The 17,059-nt window shown below is 56.4% G+C and overlaps 1 protein-coding gene across 3 annotated transcripts in view, besides 1 other annotated feature; it reads right to left on the bottom strand.

Moving 5' to 3' along the window:
* Positions 3,972-4,471: an enhancer, noted in NCBI's record as "H3K4me1 hESC enhancer chr17:21328219-21328718 (GRCh37/hg19 assembly coordinates)". NCBI's record gives its function as "activates a minimal SCP1, AML or CMV promoter by ChIP-STARR-seq in naive H9 embryonic stem cells {active_cell/tissue: H9 hESC(naive)}" and the evidence as "EXISTENCE:reporter gene assay evidence [ECO:0000049][PMID:30033119]".
* Positions 9,508-17,059, bottom strand: part of KCNJ12 (potassium inwardly rectifying channel subfamily J member 12) — a 43,514-nt gene continuing 35,962 nt past the window's right edge. For all 3 annotated transcript variants that reach the window (NM_021012.5, XM_005256625.6, XM_011523831.3), the window contains exon 3: positions 9,508-14,091. In NM_021012.5, the coding sequence (NP_066292.2) occupies positions 12,734-14,035 (1,302 nt within the window). In that variant the 5' untranslated portion in view covers positions 14,036-14,091 and the 3' untranslated portion in view covers positions 9,508-12,733. The remainder of the gene's footprint in view (positions 14,092-17,059) is intronic.

Raw genomic sequence — 17,059 nt, 5'->3', positions numbered from 1 at the left:
CCACTCTTGGTCTTTTCTAAGCCTGCTTCATAGTAAGTGGCTGAAACCTGTGGGATAAGCTCCCATTAGCTTGTAGATTCTGCTGCCATAAATGTATGGTCTGACCATTGGTCAACTCCAACACTGTGTGGGAACTGTCCATCCATCCGTGCGTCCATCCGCCCATCTGTCTGTCCATTCATCCATTACAGATAATTTGAAAAGTGCCTTCCTTATGAGCTAGAATGTCTGTGCACAAAACAGACAAAGTTGGCTGCTTCTTGGAGCTTACATCAGAGATCTCCAAACTTTTTCTATAAATGGTGAGATATTAAATATTTTAGGCTTTGTAGGCCATATGGTCTCTGTCACAACTACTCAATTCTGCCATGGTTTTGTAAAAGCAGCCATCAACAATTCATGAACAATTCATGAAATGAGTGTGGTTCTGTGCCAAAGGACATTGGGATTTCATTCCACGTTCATGCATCATGAATACTATGCTTCATTAATAGAGCACAAAGGAAGCCTTCCTTTGACCCTAAAGAACCATGTTATCTGCACAGTACAATTGCTTTGATTCCTCCTGTTTTTGTCTTCATGCTGCCATCGTGGGTACCTAGCACACTGTCAAATAAGGCTTTATTGCCTCTTAGCTCACGTAACAAAAATACTTCTGTTTTGTAAGTTCCCTCGTTTAAAGGGAAACATGCTTCATCTGATTTAGATATATCAGTCTATTCCAACTTAATTTGGAGTCTTAAAAATTAAGGATGGCCAGGCGTGGTGGCTCACGCCTATAATCCCAGCACTTTGGGAGGCCTAGGTGGGAGAATTGCTTGAGGTCAGGAGTTCAAGACCTGCCTGGGCAACACAGCGAGACCCTGTCTCTAAAAAAAAATTAAGGATGCATTGTTTGAACATATACCTTACTATTTTAGAGATGAATGTTTTATTTTTGTGTCGTAGATACTGATGAATAGATGTTTAATTGTTGCCAGAGTTCAATAAACAGCCCATGTTACTGGTGGTGGTGTCAGTTGTTGCAACTAGTTTAGACACTATTTAATCACTTATCTTCCAAATGTCATTCTCTTTGCTTAGCAAATGTATTTCTGTGAATGTACAATGAGTAAATAATGAAACACAAAGGAAAAAAGACAAGCTTAAAATTGGAATATCATTAAAATATTCATTCTGTATTGTTATTTACTACCTAACCTGACCCCACTGGGACTTTCGATAAACATGATTTTAAGTGAATTTTGGTGATTTTTCCACCCTAATTTGAATAACTTCACTGTGTCCTCTGATATCTCATTGCTGGAAAGGATATTTGGCCAACTGAGTGCTGGTAAAAACAAGACTTCACTGTATTCATCAAGGATGTGTGGGCCTGCTACAGATCCTGGAGTCATGTCAATTTAGCAAACGCACAAGAGCCAGACACCAGTGCCTGGAGTTGAGTCCCTTACGGTGTTCCCCAGATGAAGCAATACATCCTGATGACTAGTGTTTTCCTGGCCTCCACGGGTTCCAGTTGGAATCCCTTGCCTAGACACATTCCAGGAAAATGGCTTCAGGGTACAATTATCATGAAAGTTTCCCCTTAAACCCAAAACAAGCAAGAATAAAATAAATAAAAATATGGAAAGGTTGATGTATGTGCTTAGTCAAACAGTCAAAGAGCAGGAAGTATTCTATTCCCATATTAGTTTTGAGATTCACATTGTTTGGCCCTTTATATCACTTGAACATCATGAAAATGACAGTATTGAGCCCAGAATCTAAGACTTACAATTAATAGTGGGATTCACTAATGGCTCCTTTTGGGGGCATGACTTCCTGCCGCCATTTTCTGAGCAGAATGCCTTCATTGCAAGCCCTCGCAGAAAATCCCTTTTCAAAGGCAGACGATGCAACATGTGCCACATCCCAACATAGGTCAGCTGACTTAGGACTCGAAATGCTTTCATGGATTCTGTCCATGTCAGCACCAGGATTTTCACCGCTGAAACCAGTTCAGGCAAACACACACACACAGAGGCCACACAGGGAAAAACACATAGTGGAACACACATACACACATGACACAGGATGGCTTCGGGGCCAGTTAACCCAAACTCTCCCGGGACTCACTTGTGGCTCCAAGTTTTCTGTTACCCCAGGAAACAATAAAAGTGGCTCTAGCTCCCTTTTTCCAGTCACCCGCCCCATGTTCTCCAATGCGGACCCTGTTCCTCCCTTAGCATGAATGTTCTGGAAACAGATGTGACTCCACGCCCCAGCTCGCCTGCATGTCCCTGCACCTTCATTTCCCAGGCATGGCCATGGGAAAAAGTGCGGGCCACAGCTGGTTCAGAGCAAGGGGGATGGGACGCTGATGGGAGCTGCCCAGGCCTGGGACTGGGCTCTGATTTTTGTCCTTTTTAAATGGACAGTCCTGCTTCTTGTCCATAGCTCTTTGCTGGTCAATCTCCCCAACGCCCATTAGCAGAAAGGCAGGGGCTTTTGATTTGGGTCATTTCAGCCAAGGGCCAGCCAGTGTCTTCCAGGGGCTGGCGAGGGCGTGGGGTGCAGAATCACTACGGATGCGCCTGCTATGTAACTCAGGGTAAAGTGTAACTTGGAAATGAAAATATTCTGTAAGTCAGGAGTTATTTCCGGTCAGTAAAAAAATTCAGTAAATAGTTTTGCACATTTGAATGAAAATACAGTCAATATGAGCCATCCTTCATAATCCATGTGGATGGTCTTCCTCAGGCAAGCTCAAAGTTTCCTATTTTCTCTGTCCTCCTCCTCCCCGTTCCCCAGCACACACCCTACTCCAGATGATATGCACTGACAGGCCTTTTGAAACCCTTTACTGCCTTTACACGGCCCACACCACCTGGACAGCACCCTTTTCCCAACTCAGAAAATGGCCCGGGGTGCACAGCAGCCCAGCCTGCCTGCCTTAGTCCCTGCCAGGAGGGATTTCTGCAGCCACTTGTGCAGCAGTGGCCGGCCCAGCAGCAGGGAAGTGTGGAGCAGGGCACTGAGCGAGAGGAGTCGTCTCTGACTCCAAAGAGGGCGTAAGTCAATGCCAGCACCATAGATCCAAGATCTAGAAGAATGCCCCAGAAAATCAGGGCAGGCTGTTCATGTACTCGCAAGCCAAGACATCTGTCTGCATTTCTGTCTGTGTCCACCTGAGAGCTACCCTGAGCTCCATCCATCCACTTACACAACTTTCTATCTTTACAGCATCTTTCTGTCTACCTGTTGCTGTTAGTGGATATTTGTCTCTGTCTCCACTTTCTGCCTGTCTGTTAGTCCACGTCTGTCTCTCTGCCTGTCTTTCTGCCTCATCCAACCATCTCTTTTTATCTGTGTGTCAATCTTCCTACCAATTTGCCTCTGTCATTCCCAATGCCTTCCACCCCCGTGCCCTCTCCCAACCTCGCCTTGCCACATCCTCAGTGTCTAGGTGTCTGGTGTCTTTAATCTCTCAGTCACTTGACTCCATCCACAGCTGGTGACTCGCCAGTCTCAACCCACAGACCCAACCTCTCCTCCAATGTGTCTGAAATCCAGACAGGCTGGTGGCTCAACATACAAGGTTTTTGTGGCAACTTCTTTTTCTTTCCCCACTTTAAGAAAAATTTAAGGTGTAATGTACCTATACTCATCCTTTGCTGTGCACCGTCCTGTGAGTTTTGACAAAGTGCACATATCCGTGTAGCCATGATCAAGACACCAAGCCCCAAAACTGCCTCCTGTCCCTCGTGGTAACCACGCCTCCACCCTCAGCCCCTGGCAGCTACAGATGTGTTCTCCATCCCCTACTCTATTCACAGCTTCCATGGACACACGTGGGACCCACAGCAGGAAGTGGCGGGGCCTGGCTCCTTCCACTCAGCCGCTTCCTTTGGGACACATTTGTGGTGCCAGGTGTCAATATCCTCCTTTCTCCCTGCTCGGGACGCTTCCATCTCGGGGTGGGCCATGGCTTGCTTGTCCCCTCATCAGGTGAGGCACATGTAGGCCACTTCCTTGTTTGGGTGATTACTAGTAACACTGCTATAAACATCCACTTACAAGTTTTTGTGTGAACATGAGTCTCATTTCTCTTGAGTAGTACCTAGTTGACAAAAGGTGGGATCGTCTGACAAGTGTACGTTTAACTTTATCAAGAAACTGCAAACCAACCTCCAAAGTGGCTGTGCCTTTGTTTGCATTTTAAAGCATCCAGAGAGGCCATCACTCTCCGCAAGCTTCTCCTCCTTAGTCCTCCCCATCTGCCTGGCTGCTCCCACCCAAGTCCACAGACCAGCCTGGATGCCGCGATGTTTCCTCGGGCCCCTTTTTGGGCTGCACACTCAGCCCAGTCCCAGGGCCCTCCTCCCTGGCCTGCTTCCTACATGGCAACAGGAATGATCCTGAAAAGTCAAACATGTCAGGGGTCTTTCTTGCTTCTATCACACTTGGAGTCAGCAGATCCCAGCCCCAGCCCCAGCCTATTCCTCCTCCCCGGCTCTAACTGGCCCAGCCCCACTGGCCTTCCCTTTCTCCTCCAGCCACAGAGCACCAGTCCAGGGTTGCCCCACCTGGGATGCTTGTACCCCAGATCATGGCAGCTAGAGAGGAAAGCTGGTGCTCAGGCAGTGCCCATGTGCCAGGTGAAGCCACAGGCGTTTGCCTACTTCTTACCCGCGGCTTTATGATCATCAGCCCCATTTTACAGAGGAGAGAACAGGCACAGAGAAGTTAGTGCAGCCAAGGTCTTCAGAGTCCTCAGATGTCCTCTCTGGGTGGCTCCAGGACTGGCATAGGGTCATGCCTAAGAGGACCCCTAGCTTTCATTCCCTGCTATTCACTTGTCCATGGCATTCATAGTGTTTACGGCTTCTGGGCTAAGCGCAAAGGGAGTGCCCTCTAACAGCCATGAAGTGAAAGCCACGACCCACCATTGCAGCCTCCAAACAAGTGCAGGGCGAAGACCCTTGAACTGTCCTGGTGTTCCGTAGGGAGCACCCCATCCTCCCTCAGGTCGAGCAGACTTGGGGGCTGGGGGTTGGGGCGGGCAAGAGTGCTCTGACTCTGAGATTCAGCACTGGGTTCAAGAAATTACTCTGGCCCAGCCCAGCCCCTGTGGCCTGAACTCCCTCAGGGTCTGGGAATAAGCCTCAGGGCACGTGCACTGGGAAATGAGAAGCATTCAATCTCAACTTCATCTCACTCTCAGAGAAGTTTTGCGATTTCTTCCTTGACAGACAAGGGTGAGCAGTGCCCAGTGCCTACTATCCTGTCGCCCACAGATCAGGAGGCATTCCCATGCCCTGTGACATTGCTGGCCCCCTTGGGAGGGGCTGTGCTCACCAGCCAGGGAGGCAGAGGCCATTAGCAGGTCCGTGAGGAAATAGAGCCATTGGTATACCACCAATGTATCTGTTCATATTTTGATAACTGCATTTCCATAAAACAGATTTCCTTTGAAACTCAATGTGTTTTATTTTTTGCCTTTCGAAATGTTATTCTGACAGCACAGTGGATCCTGGTCGGTGGGTCCCTAATTTGAGGCTGGGGTTGCTTGTGTGGCCCACCCCCCAGCACCTCTGGCATTAGCTGTGCAGAGGAGCCCCTGGGACCCCTTGTGGACCCTATCCCTTCCTGCTCCTGGTCACTGGTGGTTACCACCCTACCCTGCCCTGCAGCAGGGTCCCAGGCACCCCAGGGACAGGCCCACACTGCACCAACTCTGGCTTGAAGGTCCTTTTACATCTTGAAGCAGCTAAGGATTTACTGAGTGCCTACTGGGTGCCAGTGCTTGCAGTTCTTGGGGCTGGGACCCAGCTATGAACAAAGCAGAACAAAAAGTCCTGCTCCCAAGGGCTGACATTCTGGGTTGGGCAATGCAGCCACGCTGTGGCTATGGTGGAGGCCGGGGAGGAGCTGGGAACAAGACTGAAGCTGGGCCCTGCACAGAGTCCTTGGGCTCTCGGTGACCCGCCTACCCCAGCCAAGCATCTTCCTTCTGCTGTCTCCCACTGCAAGGCCTTTGGTTGTGCCTGTCCCTCTCCCTGGGAAGCACTTCCCTGTGTGCCTGGCAAACACCCACTCATCCCGCAGATCCCAGAGGAGGTGTCACTTCCTGTGGGAGGTCCCCGGTCCCTCCAGCCAGGCCTCCGTGCCTCCGGACGCAGCCCCTGCATGTGTCCCGCTGGATCCCGGGACCACGCTGCTCTGTAGCTCCTTGCTGCAGTGGACATGGTTGGGGCCACCCAGATCCGGTTCCTGGGAGGAGTGCCCATCTCCCTGCCACCCTCCTCTGGAGAATAGTCCTGGATCCATAGGAGCCACCTCCTCTCCCAGGGTGGCTGCAGGCAAGGAGTGACTGATGAGCGCAACAGCCGCCACCGCAGCCCCACCCCCCTCACCTAAGGAGGACAACGCCTTGCCCCTCTTCACACTCCTAGGAGTGCCAGACAGTGATGGGCTCCAGTGGCACCCACATCCCTCCTCAGCTCCTTCCTGCTTGGGCTGCTCCCCTCTCCCCTATCCTTCCCTGCACCAGAATCCCCACTTGTAGAGGACTCAGGCCCAGACTCTTGTTCACCATCTGCTGGGCCTGGCTTCCTTCCCACCTGGCCCCTGATGCTCACAGTGGCAGCTCATAAACACTTGTTTGAAGGAATGAATGGAGCTCTTGTTCCATAGAAGGCAACTGAGGCCCAGAGTTGGCCAGTCATAAACACTTAAGGGCAGAGTCCAGAAGCCAGGCCATCCAGGTCCCAGTCCAGCTGTGGGTGAAAGGGGAGCCGCCTTCTATGTTTTCTTGGCAGCACCGAGGAGGAAAGCGGGTGGAGTACCCAGAGCCTTCCTTGGGCTCAAATCGCCTTCAGCACAAAAGCCCTTGTCCGCTCTGTTCCTGGTTCCCAGTTCCAGTTACCCCAGGCTGGGCTGCTCTCCCCTGGGTGTGGCCGGTGGCTGGGCCCCATCCTGTCTGGCTCAGCAAAAAGGGGGCCTCAGGTGGCAAGACCTGTAGAGCCCTCTGTGTGGGAGAGACGCCTGCAGGGCCCACACCCCCCATCCAAGCACACATGGAGCTCCTCCATGCCCTGCTCCTGGCGCTGGGCACCAGCGGGGACCGAGACGGCAGTCCCTGCCCCGCAGAGCTCGCAGCCTGGTGAGGACAGCAGACTGCAAGCCTGGGGGTGACCGCTGCCTCCAGAGGGAGCATCTGCCATCCCTCGCACTGGGTCCGGAAAGGCCTAGACTCGAAAATTGAGGAGCTGGGTCTGCTAAGACCTGAGGGGAAAGTGTCAGGCAGAGGGAAGGCACGCACAAAGGTCCTGGGGTGGGGGGACATGTGGAATGTCAGGGAAACCAAGGGACAGGGTGCCTGCAGCAGAGGGGCAGGAGCAGGAGTGAGAGCAGGGAAGGTTGGGCTGCACGGGGCGGGCTTGCAGAGGTGAAGCGGGCAAGGAGCAGCTGGGGTTTTATTGCCAGTGTTAAGGAGAAGCCAGGGAGGGTTTCAGGCAGGGAACTGCAAGGCCTGATTCTGGTTGTAAGAAGACCACTCTGGTGCCGGGTGGAGAGTGGGCTGAAGGGGGTCCGATGTGTCCTTGGGGCCCCCACTGCTGTTGGGGAGCACACAGGCAGCTCTGATCTGGGCTGTGATTCCTCCCAAGTTGTGGGGGTCCTCCCTGCAGACCGGTTTTAGGAAGGGAAAAGTGGAGATGAGTCCAGGGCAGGCCCCAGCTGGGGCACCCCTCCACTGGCAGAGACCGCAGCCCAGCCCTGGTCACCAGCAGGCAGAGGCCCTGAGGTGTCCAGTGCCCAGCAGGGTGGCAGCATCTGGGTCAACTGACTGAAGGGCCCAGGGCCTGGCTTAGATCCCAGCTTGAGGAACTACCCTGTGGGGGCCTCGAGCAAGTCCCTTAGCTTCCCTCGACCAACCTCCTCTAAAATAGGTTAGCAGTGCCTCTGAGGCCTGCTGACACGGGCCAGCCCAAGATCAAGGGTGGGGCCTGACAGACCTCAAACATCAAGCTCGCAGGCGCTCAGTGAACGCTCACAAGCTCTCCACCCCCATCCCAGCTCTACCTGTTTTAAAGCAGATTCTGGATTGGGCTCACATCATCCCTGGAGAGGCAGGGAAGTGCATGGAAGTCACGCAGACCTGGGGTTAGGCCTGGGCTATGTGTTCCTTGCTGTGACCTTGAGCCAGAGCAGCACCTCCGGGTGCCCCTCAGGAGGGCGGGCAGTGCCAGTGCAATCTGACTTAGCAGAAGGCAGGCACTGAGGAGCACTCACTATGTCAGGGTTCTTTCTCCTCCTTTCCAACAAACCTGTGAGCTGGCCATTCTTATGAACACCCCCTTTTTGCAGATCAGGAGACCGAGGCTGGAGGGGGAAAGGAATTCACAGGAGGTCCCCCAGCAAATGAGTGGCCTGCATTCTGACCCAGGGCCCTTTGCGGCATTAGTACAGCCAGGACAGCGCACCTGGAGACTCTACGATAAGCATTTGTTGAGCACCAACTGGGGCCAGGGCCTCATGCCTACCAGTCAGCGCCATGGGAATGGCCCGGAGGGCTTGAGTGAAGACAGATGCTACCGTGTTTTGGCCCCAGTTGGCCTTGATCCTGCTACTGGGGTCCCAGGAGGGCCCCAGAGTCAGAAAGGAGGTCCCCACCAAACCAAGCCACCTCCAGGGTCCCCGGGTCACCCCAAGTCCAACCCAAGGGAGCTCCCACTGGGAAGCCTTCATGACCCCCTAGGCCCTGGCACCCAAGCCCCTGCTCCACATTCTGCCATGCACGGCACCATCACCCAGGAATGACTCAGGCAGGGGATTCTTATCCGGGGTTGTCTGGAATCATCATCGAAATCCTGCAGAAAGAGGGTGCCCTGAGTCCTTTGCTGATGCAGAGGAGTGGAGAACTCTCCACTCACATAGTTTGGGAAGGGAAGGAATTCTCTCCCCACAAGTCCCTGCTGAAGACCTTGGAGATCTGGGGCTGAGCCTCAAGGTACAGATGAAAGTCTAGTTTCCCAAAACTGGGCCGTGTGTGTTCCCTCACCCCACTCCAGGCTTGTCTCGTCACCTCAGTGGAGACATTGGCACGCTCTGAAACTCCTCCTCAGCCCCTGCCTGCTACAAGCTGGAGCAGGGCTTCCCCTCCTGGGAAAGGAGTTGCCTGTCTCAGGTCAGCCTCCCCCAGCTGGGGAGGGCGCTGCTGCAACAGCAGGCACCCAGCACATCCTTGCAGAAGGAAGGGAAGGCAGGAGGCTCGGCCCTGCCGCCTGGGATGGGTGACATCATGGGACAAGCCCTGTGTGCTTGCTGGAGACCACTGGGAGCTGCAAGGAGGCTGAGTTCTGTTCCATCTCCCAACAGCTGCCACCATGCCCCACCCTCACCCATGAGGAAGCCCCAGGAAACCCCCACCCAAGGCGGAGGCTGAGGAAGCCGGGCGGACGCCCAGCACGCTGTGGAGCCATGCAGGGGAACTTCAGAAAACACATCTCAACACAGGGGACCTCAAAGAGATCAAAATGCATTTAATGTGGTCTAGTCTCATCGCCTACGTCTTTAGATACTGCTATGTATTGAAAATAACATGAAAACTCTCCAGTTTCACCATTTAAAATAATTTGACATTCTATGCCCTCACGCAGGGCAGACACCCCGTACAGGGGCCTCCCAACGGTGGCTCCTCCCCGCCCCCCAGGACCCTCTGGGTGGGGACCACGCAGCACAGCACCAGCAGAGGCTCAGGGGGTGGCCACCGTGCTCTGAGCAGCAGGCATAGGCTGCACACAGACACACACTCAAGTACACGGTTTCACATGGGCACACACACAGCCTCCTACACACGAGCCGGACGCACACGCTCACCTCCAGATGTCTCATCCTGGAACACAAGCTCCACTCAGGAGCAGACGTGCATAATCAGGGCAGAGGGTCGGGGACTGTGGGGTTCACCTGTGCCAGTGCCCAACCTGATGGGTGGGTGCCCTCCCTCACAGGAAACTTGTACACGGAAACACCTGGGGGTAGACAGACACATAACCGCCTGCATACACACACACACACACACACACACACACACACACGTATAGATCACGTATCTGTATTACTAACCCAGTCATACACATGAAGAGCCGAGTGTGCATGTGTGCACCACACATGTATGCATGCAGGCTCACACAGGCACACGCCTCCACACACACACTCCCCAGGGGCCAAGTCTTCCTCGCTCCTGGCTCATCCCATCCGCCCTCCCGCTTCAAGTGCACTAAAGAGGGAGACTATTTTGGTCTTTAGCACAAGCAATAAATAAATAAATAAATACGAGGGAAGGAAGAAAGAGGGCAGGAGAATCAAGCATCTGCCGCCTTTGGGGAGATGAGGCGCTGGGGCTGCTCTCCCGCAGGGTGGGGGCTGGGAGGTAAGAGCACAGACCTCCAAGAGGGCCAGGAGGTGGGCCTGGGGTCCTCGGACTCAGCTCTGGGTCGGGGGAGTAGAAGGCTGTCTCACTGGCCCTGGAAGGGCACAGGCCCCTACACCAGCACCAAGTGACCAGGGTCACCACTGTCCCTCAGCATGGCCATCAGGGAGGCGAAGTGTCAAGCTCTCCCCTGCCAACTTCACCCCAGTACCCAGGGCTAAGGCTGAGAAGGCCCCTAAGGCTTCGGGGCTAGGCCTGGGAGCAGGAACCAGCTGAGGCACCCCTGGCAGACCCCGAGAGGAAAGAGCTGCCTCGGCGGAATCTTCTATGCCAGAAATGAGTGTGGGGCTGAAGCTGGGACAGGATGCTGAGTCGGGCCTACCCCAGGATGTAGGGGTCGGGTGTCTTGACTTCCATTGCCCCAGACCTCAGGGCTGAGTCTTCAGCTGCTAAGGAGGGGAGGAGGTGGAGGGAAGAGGCAGACACCCCCACCCCACGCCCCCAGCCCCTCTCTGTCTCCTGCACCCCACCCACTCACTGCATGACCCCCTCTGCTCTCTGCCTCAGCTTCCCCACTTGGGCCAGAGTCCTCGGTGCCTTCTGGCTCTGAGCTGTCTCGGGGTGCCTTCTGGCTCTGAGCTGTCTCGGGGTGCCTTCTGGCTCTGAGCTGTCTCGGGGGCAGAGTTGGAGCAGGAGACACATCCTTTCTGATTACTGGCTTCTGGAGAAGCCCGACTAGAAGAGAGCAGGTTTTCTCCGCAGCCCTGGGAAGGGCCTGGCTCTACCATGGACCTGACCCAACCAGCTGCCATGAACAAGATGGGGTGGCAGAGCCAGCAGTGACAACAAGGGGACCCCAAACCTCTTCCTGATGAGGGTGCCATAGTGCCTCAACCTGGGGGAGGGTGGTGGAGGAGCGGCCCTGGAAGACTCGGCAGGAATTCTGTTCCACGGCTGGTTTCTGATTCAGCTTTGAATGAGCGTGGCCCTCCCCAGTCATCCCAGTTGGCAGGAGGGGGTGGCGATTCCTCTCCTTTCCTAAGATCTTTCCTCTGCCATTCAGCGCTGACCAGGGCCTGGCTGTGCCCTGCCTGAACTCTGCTGTGCTGCTCCAGGTGAGGGAGGGACAGGATGTGGTCCTATGTCAGGCAGACCTGGCCCCTGCCACCTTCACAAGGCAGACAGAGGGGCTGGAGGAACTTCAGCAGTGGAGGTATGGGAGGGGTGGGGTGGGACAGGGTTGGGGGGAGATGAGCAAGCCCAGAAAGAACAGGACAACCCGGAGTCTCTAAGGCACGACTCACACTGTGGGCCCAGTGGGGACGGGGCTGCCAGCTTCCTCCTAGCCTGGGATCCCGACTTCCCTTCCCAAGGAGCCATCCCGGCCTATAGCTCCTAACCACCCCTCACTGTGGAATTGGGCGGAGGCCTGGACAGAAATGGAGAGAGAAGCAAAACAGGAAAATCGAGGGTGCGGGGAGGAACCCTCGATGGCAGGTCCCATGCCTGGCCCTGAGACACATCTCTAAGGTACAAAGGCAAACTCTAAAAGCTCAAACCAGTTTCTTCCCAGCCCCACCCACCACCCCAACGACAGTAGAAAGCTTTTATTACGATCATTAACATGGTCTTGATTTTTCTATCACAAACAGAGCCTAGCTGGCTCGTGAGCTCGATGAAGTGCGGTCCCAGAGCACCCTGCTTGCCCAGGGACTGTGGTGCCCACACACACGGGGAGAGGCCAGTCCCACCTCGGGGAACCCTCTGGAGCCTTCAGCCAGCTGCTGCATCCTGGCAGACCCATGGAATTCTAATTGTTCTTTTTGCCCCCTGTGAATTAAAAAAAAATTTTTTCAATTGCATGGTAATTTTTTTTTTTTGTAAACAGTCTCACCCAAGCTAAGGTCAAGAAAGCTGAAACCCGGTGTTTCTCCCCAAGTTAAAAACCAGCAAGGAGCACCGCAGCTAGCCAGCCTTGGACAGCAGAGGCTGGGCCCACCATCGAGCTGAGCTGCTTCCCCGCAGGCTGCAGCTCCATCTTCAGGCAGAAGCCCTGGCCCTCGTGGCCTGGCCCCCCAGGAGGCCACTTCTTTGCCCTGAGCCTGTGATAGCCTCTGAGGCCGGGGGCTGCCGCTCTGGCTGCCCCCTCTCCGGCCAAACTTCTGAGGCCGTTGCAAAGAAACATAAAACGACTAAAACGCTACTGAGTCTGCAACCCAGGGCACTGGGCCCGTTCTGCTCAAACCCGGGGCCCCTGAGCGACCGCGGGGCCTCTCCCCAGCCGGGGGTGGATGCTGCATGTCGGCCAAGGTTGGCTCAGATCTCTGACTCCCGTCTGTAGGGCCGCTGCTCCAGGACCCCGCCGCCAGCCTGGAGTCTGTCAAAGTCATGCCTGGCCTGGGGGCTGAGGCCGTCCCGGCTTCGGCCGTCCTGGTCTCCGTCCGCCTCATCCTCCTCGTCACGGCTCAGGAAGGCCAGCTCGTTCTCGTAGCAGAAGGAGTTGGCGCTGGGCAGCAGGAACTTGTTCTCTACCAGATCCTTCGCACTGCAGCGGGGCGTAGAGGGCACCTCATAGGTCTTGTGGAAGTGCGAGTAGTCAATCTTGTACTGGTTCTTCTCCTCGAAGAGCACGGGCTCAAAGCGGTGACCCCACAGGATCTCATTGGCCAGGTAGGAGCTGCGGGCCTGGGTGGTCATGGCTGTGGCCTCCACCATGCCTTCCAGGATGACCACGATCTCAAAGTCGTCCGTCTCCAGGTCCTGCCGGCTGATGCCGAAGAGCGGGCTGGCCTCGTCAATCTCATGCAAGATGGTGATGGGCGACACCAGAAAGATGCGGTCCAGGCCCTTGTCGAAGCCCACATCGATGTCGATCTGGTCCAGCGGGATGTACTCGCCCTCCTCGGTGACCCGCGGCTTGATGAGCTGCGCGCGCACATGGGCCTCCACAATGTGGCTCTTGCGCAGGTTACCCACACGCCACATGAGGCAGAGCTTGCCGTCACGCAGGGCCACCACGGCGTTGTGGCTGAACAGCAGCGTCTGTGCCCGCTTCTTGGGCCTTGCCATCTTGGCCATGATGGCACCAATCATGAAGGAGTCGATGATGCAGCCCACGATGGACTGGGCCACCACCATGAAGACGGCCACCGGGCACTCCTCCGTCACACAGCGCAGCCCGTAGCCGATGGTGGTCTGCGTCTCGATGGAGAAGAGGAAGGCCGCCATGAAGCCGTGCACCTGCATCACACAGGGTGTGCGGCCCCGGCCCTCAGCCGGCTCCAGGTCACCGTGTGCCACCGCGATGACCCAGAAGATGATGCCGAACAGCAGCCAGGAGGCAAGGAAGGCCAGCGAGAAGATGAGCAGCATGTACCGCCAGCGGATGTCCACACAGGTGGTGAACATGTCAGCCAGGTAGCGCTGTGACTTCTCGTCCATGTTGGCGAACTCAATGTTGCACTGGCCATTCTTCTTGACGAAGCGGTTGCGGCACCTGCGCCGCGTGTGCACCTTGCCGTTGCCGAAGCCGTTGGCGCCCGACATGGTGACCAGGTGCAGCCCGTCCTCCTCCGATGACACGATGCTGTAGGGGTTGGCCCGGCTGGCCGCGGTCATCCCGGGGGTTGGGGGACCCTGGCTCGCCCCCAGGCTAGCTCCAGGCAGGGCGGCTCCTGCAACAGAGACGACAGCATGTCTGGCTGGGCTGGTGGCTCCGGGCTCCTCTACCCCCATCCCAGGGCCCCCAGACGTGACTGGAGGACGCTTCCACCCTGATTGACCCACGATCGTGCTCTGGTCTTGCCCAAGCCAGCTCCCCACTCCGCCTTCCCAGTGCGAATGGCCACCCCCTTCGGGCCCCCAGCAGCTCCAGCCAAAAACCTCAGCTCCACACCTCACTCCCACACTGAGGGCTCTGAAGAGTCTATTTAGGATCCGACCCCTTCTCCCACCCTCAAGGCCTGAATCTAACAGTGCCTGCCCAGCCAGTTCGGGGCACAACTTGCCAGCCTCTCTGCCTCTGCCCATGGCCCCCCAGTCTCCATGGCAGCCACAGAGGGCCTGTGGAAGCTGAGTCGGTGCCTATCCCTCCCCTGCTCAATGCCAGAGGCCCCCCAGGACATGCAGGACCTGCACAGGGAAGCTCCTGACCCCTCGGACCTCACCTCCCAGCCTCCTCCAGCGGACTCCCCTTCCGGCCACAGCCCCTGGCCCCAGGCTGTCCCTCAAACCCACCCTGGACACCCTCCCGCAAGACATCCTGCCACTGCCTCGCCACCTTGGCACCAGAGGCCTCCTTGTGCCCCAGGAAGACCCATGTCCCATCCCTGCTATATCCACAGCACTGCCCCTTCTAAGGGCACAATGGCGGCAGCAATAACAATAACGTAGCCAGGGGCACTCAACCATCAACCCCACCCTGAGACCACCACTCCCTAAGGGTAGCACATTTTCTTTTTTTCTTTTCTTTCTTTTTTTCTTTTTTAGACAGAATCTTCCTCTCGTCACCTAGGCTGGAATGCAATGGTGCGATTTCAGCTCACTGCCATCTCCGCCTCCTGGGTTCAAGCGATTCTCCTGCCTCAGCTTCCTGAGCAGCTGGGATTATAGGTGCCCGCCACCACATCCAGCTAACTTTTGTATTTTAAGTAGAGACGGGGTTTCACCATGTTGGCCAGGCTGGTCTCAAACTCTTGACCTCAGGTGATCCACCTGCCTCGGCCTCCTGAAGTGCTGGGATTACAGGCGTGAGACGTTTTCTCTTTTGCTTCTTGTTGTCCTTCCCAGGGCCTAGAATGCGGCCTGCCACCCCTGTCGCCACCCACTTTGAACACCCCAAGCTGGGTCCCACCACCCTCCTGACACCCACATGCCCCACTCTACAGTGTCCACCCACATGCCATGCTTGCAGCTTCTTGGTCACCAGCAGTGCCAAAGAGGGTAAGATCTGGCACCCAGACATGGGCTGCTCCCTGGCTGACCTCAGCCGAGGGCCCTCCCCAGCCCCTGCTTCCCGCATCTCTAAGGAAGATTGCAAGGCTGCTACCCTAGCACCTGGGCAGTGCTCAGGGGTGTCACCTGTTCCCAGCACCACCCTCAGCTCACTGCAGGCAGCACCTGGCTCCAGGCCAGCCTACTGCACATTCAGGCACCCCAGGACAGGCCCCGCAGCAGGGCATCCATGCCAGCCAGAACAAAGCCTGCTCTCAGCCACTGACGTGCCCACCCCCGGGACACACAGGCTGTGCTGCCCCCACTAAAGGCCCCACACTGGCCTGTCAGTGACAGGCTAGGGCATCTGCAAGCTAGGGGCTATGGCACCGCCTGGCCCACAGCCACATCTGGATGGCAGCCTGCCTTGGCTGGGCTAGGCTGGAAGCAGGGAGACCTGGGCCTTCCAGCATTAGCCCCGACGGAGGAGCTGGACAGGCCCACCCCTCCCCGCCCACAGGGACCCAGCACCCCCAGTCCCAGTCCAGTCACACCATAACCTCAGAGCTAGACAAAGCCTTCTCCCTTAGCACACCTGCAGCCACATTACTCAGTTACGAAGACACTGAGGCCCCAAGAGAACATCCTGGGGGGATGGCACCACTGTGAACCAGGCGCTGCACACAGCCTTCTGCAGGCCTCTCAAGCCCTCCAGGGAGGGGTGGGCCACCCTGCTTTACAAACAAGGACCTGGAGGCCCAGAAGCCAGAATGGACTTGTCCCAGTCCCATAGGCAGGAGGCAGCAATGCCAGGACTCAGCCCCGGTCTGTGTGACCCAGCTTCTGGCCACGTCCACACTAGTCTGGGCCTCGGAGCGGGTGCGGCCTCTGAGCTCTGCTCCAAACACCTGAGCAACAGGTGATGGTGGAGCCGCCTGCCCGGCCAGGCTGTGGAACACTCCCAGGGGCTGCCTGGTTGCTTAGCCCCGAGCCCGCTGGTCCGAGCAGCACACAGCAACTGCCGCCTGAGAGAGACACAGGGAGAGCAGGCGGGGTCCTGGGCGCCTTGGGGGACAGATCCATCAACAGCTGCCCTCAGATCGTCCTCTCAACAACCCGGGGGTGCAGCCACCATCCAGGTTCAGAGAAGTTAAGTGACTTCCCCCAGGCCACACAGCCATTAAGCAGGAGAGTTGAGTTTTAAACCACCTCTAGCGCCGTCCCCCACCATGGGCCCCCAAGCTCTGCAGGGATGCCTTTCCTTACTCTGCCGTCCTCCCCCAACACCGCTGTGGCTGACCACCTCACCATGACGCTGAGGAGCTGGGACGCAGGGCCGGAATGGTGGACACTGCTTCTGCCTGGGCCTGGAAGTAGGGAGCCGGCAGCAGGGGGGACCCCTGAGGCTGTGCTGGGAAGGGGGCTCAGCCCCAGATTCCTGGACCCTCCAGAAAGAGGCAGCCAGGGCCGGGGCACTCAGACGCCGGCGTGAGGCCACCAGCTGACAGGGGCTGGATTTGTGTGGCCCAGGGGCCTTGAGGGACTTCCAGCGGGTCATGGCTGCTCCAGCCCCTGCTCCGAGCAGCTCAAAGCCTGCAAGGAACAGAATCACAAGAATTAAAGGCCAGAGAGCCCGGTCTGCATGTGCTCCCAGCAGCTGGCGGCCTCGAAACTGGCCAACTACCAGACTGGTGAGGGTGCTGCCACAGC

Source organism: Homo sapiens, chromosome 17 (genome assembly GCF_000001405.40).
Source record: "Homo sapiens chromosome 17, GRCh38.p14 Primary Assembly".
Taxonomy (NCBI): domain Eukaryota; kingdom Metazoa; phylum Chordata; class Mammalia; order Primates; family Hominidae; genus Homo; species Homo sapiens.
This window is presented reverse-complemented; position numbering and strand designations above follow the sequence as displayed.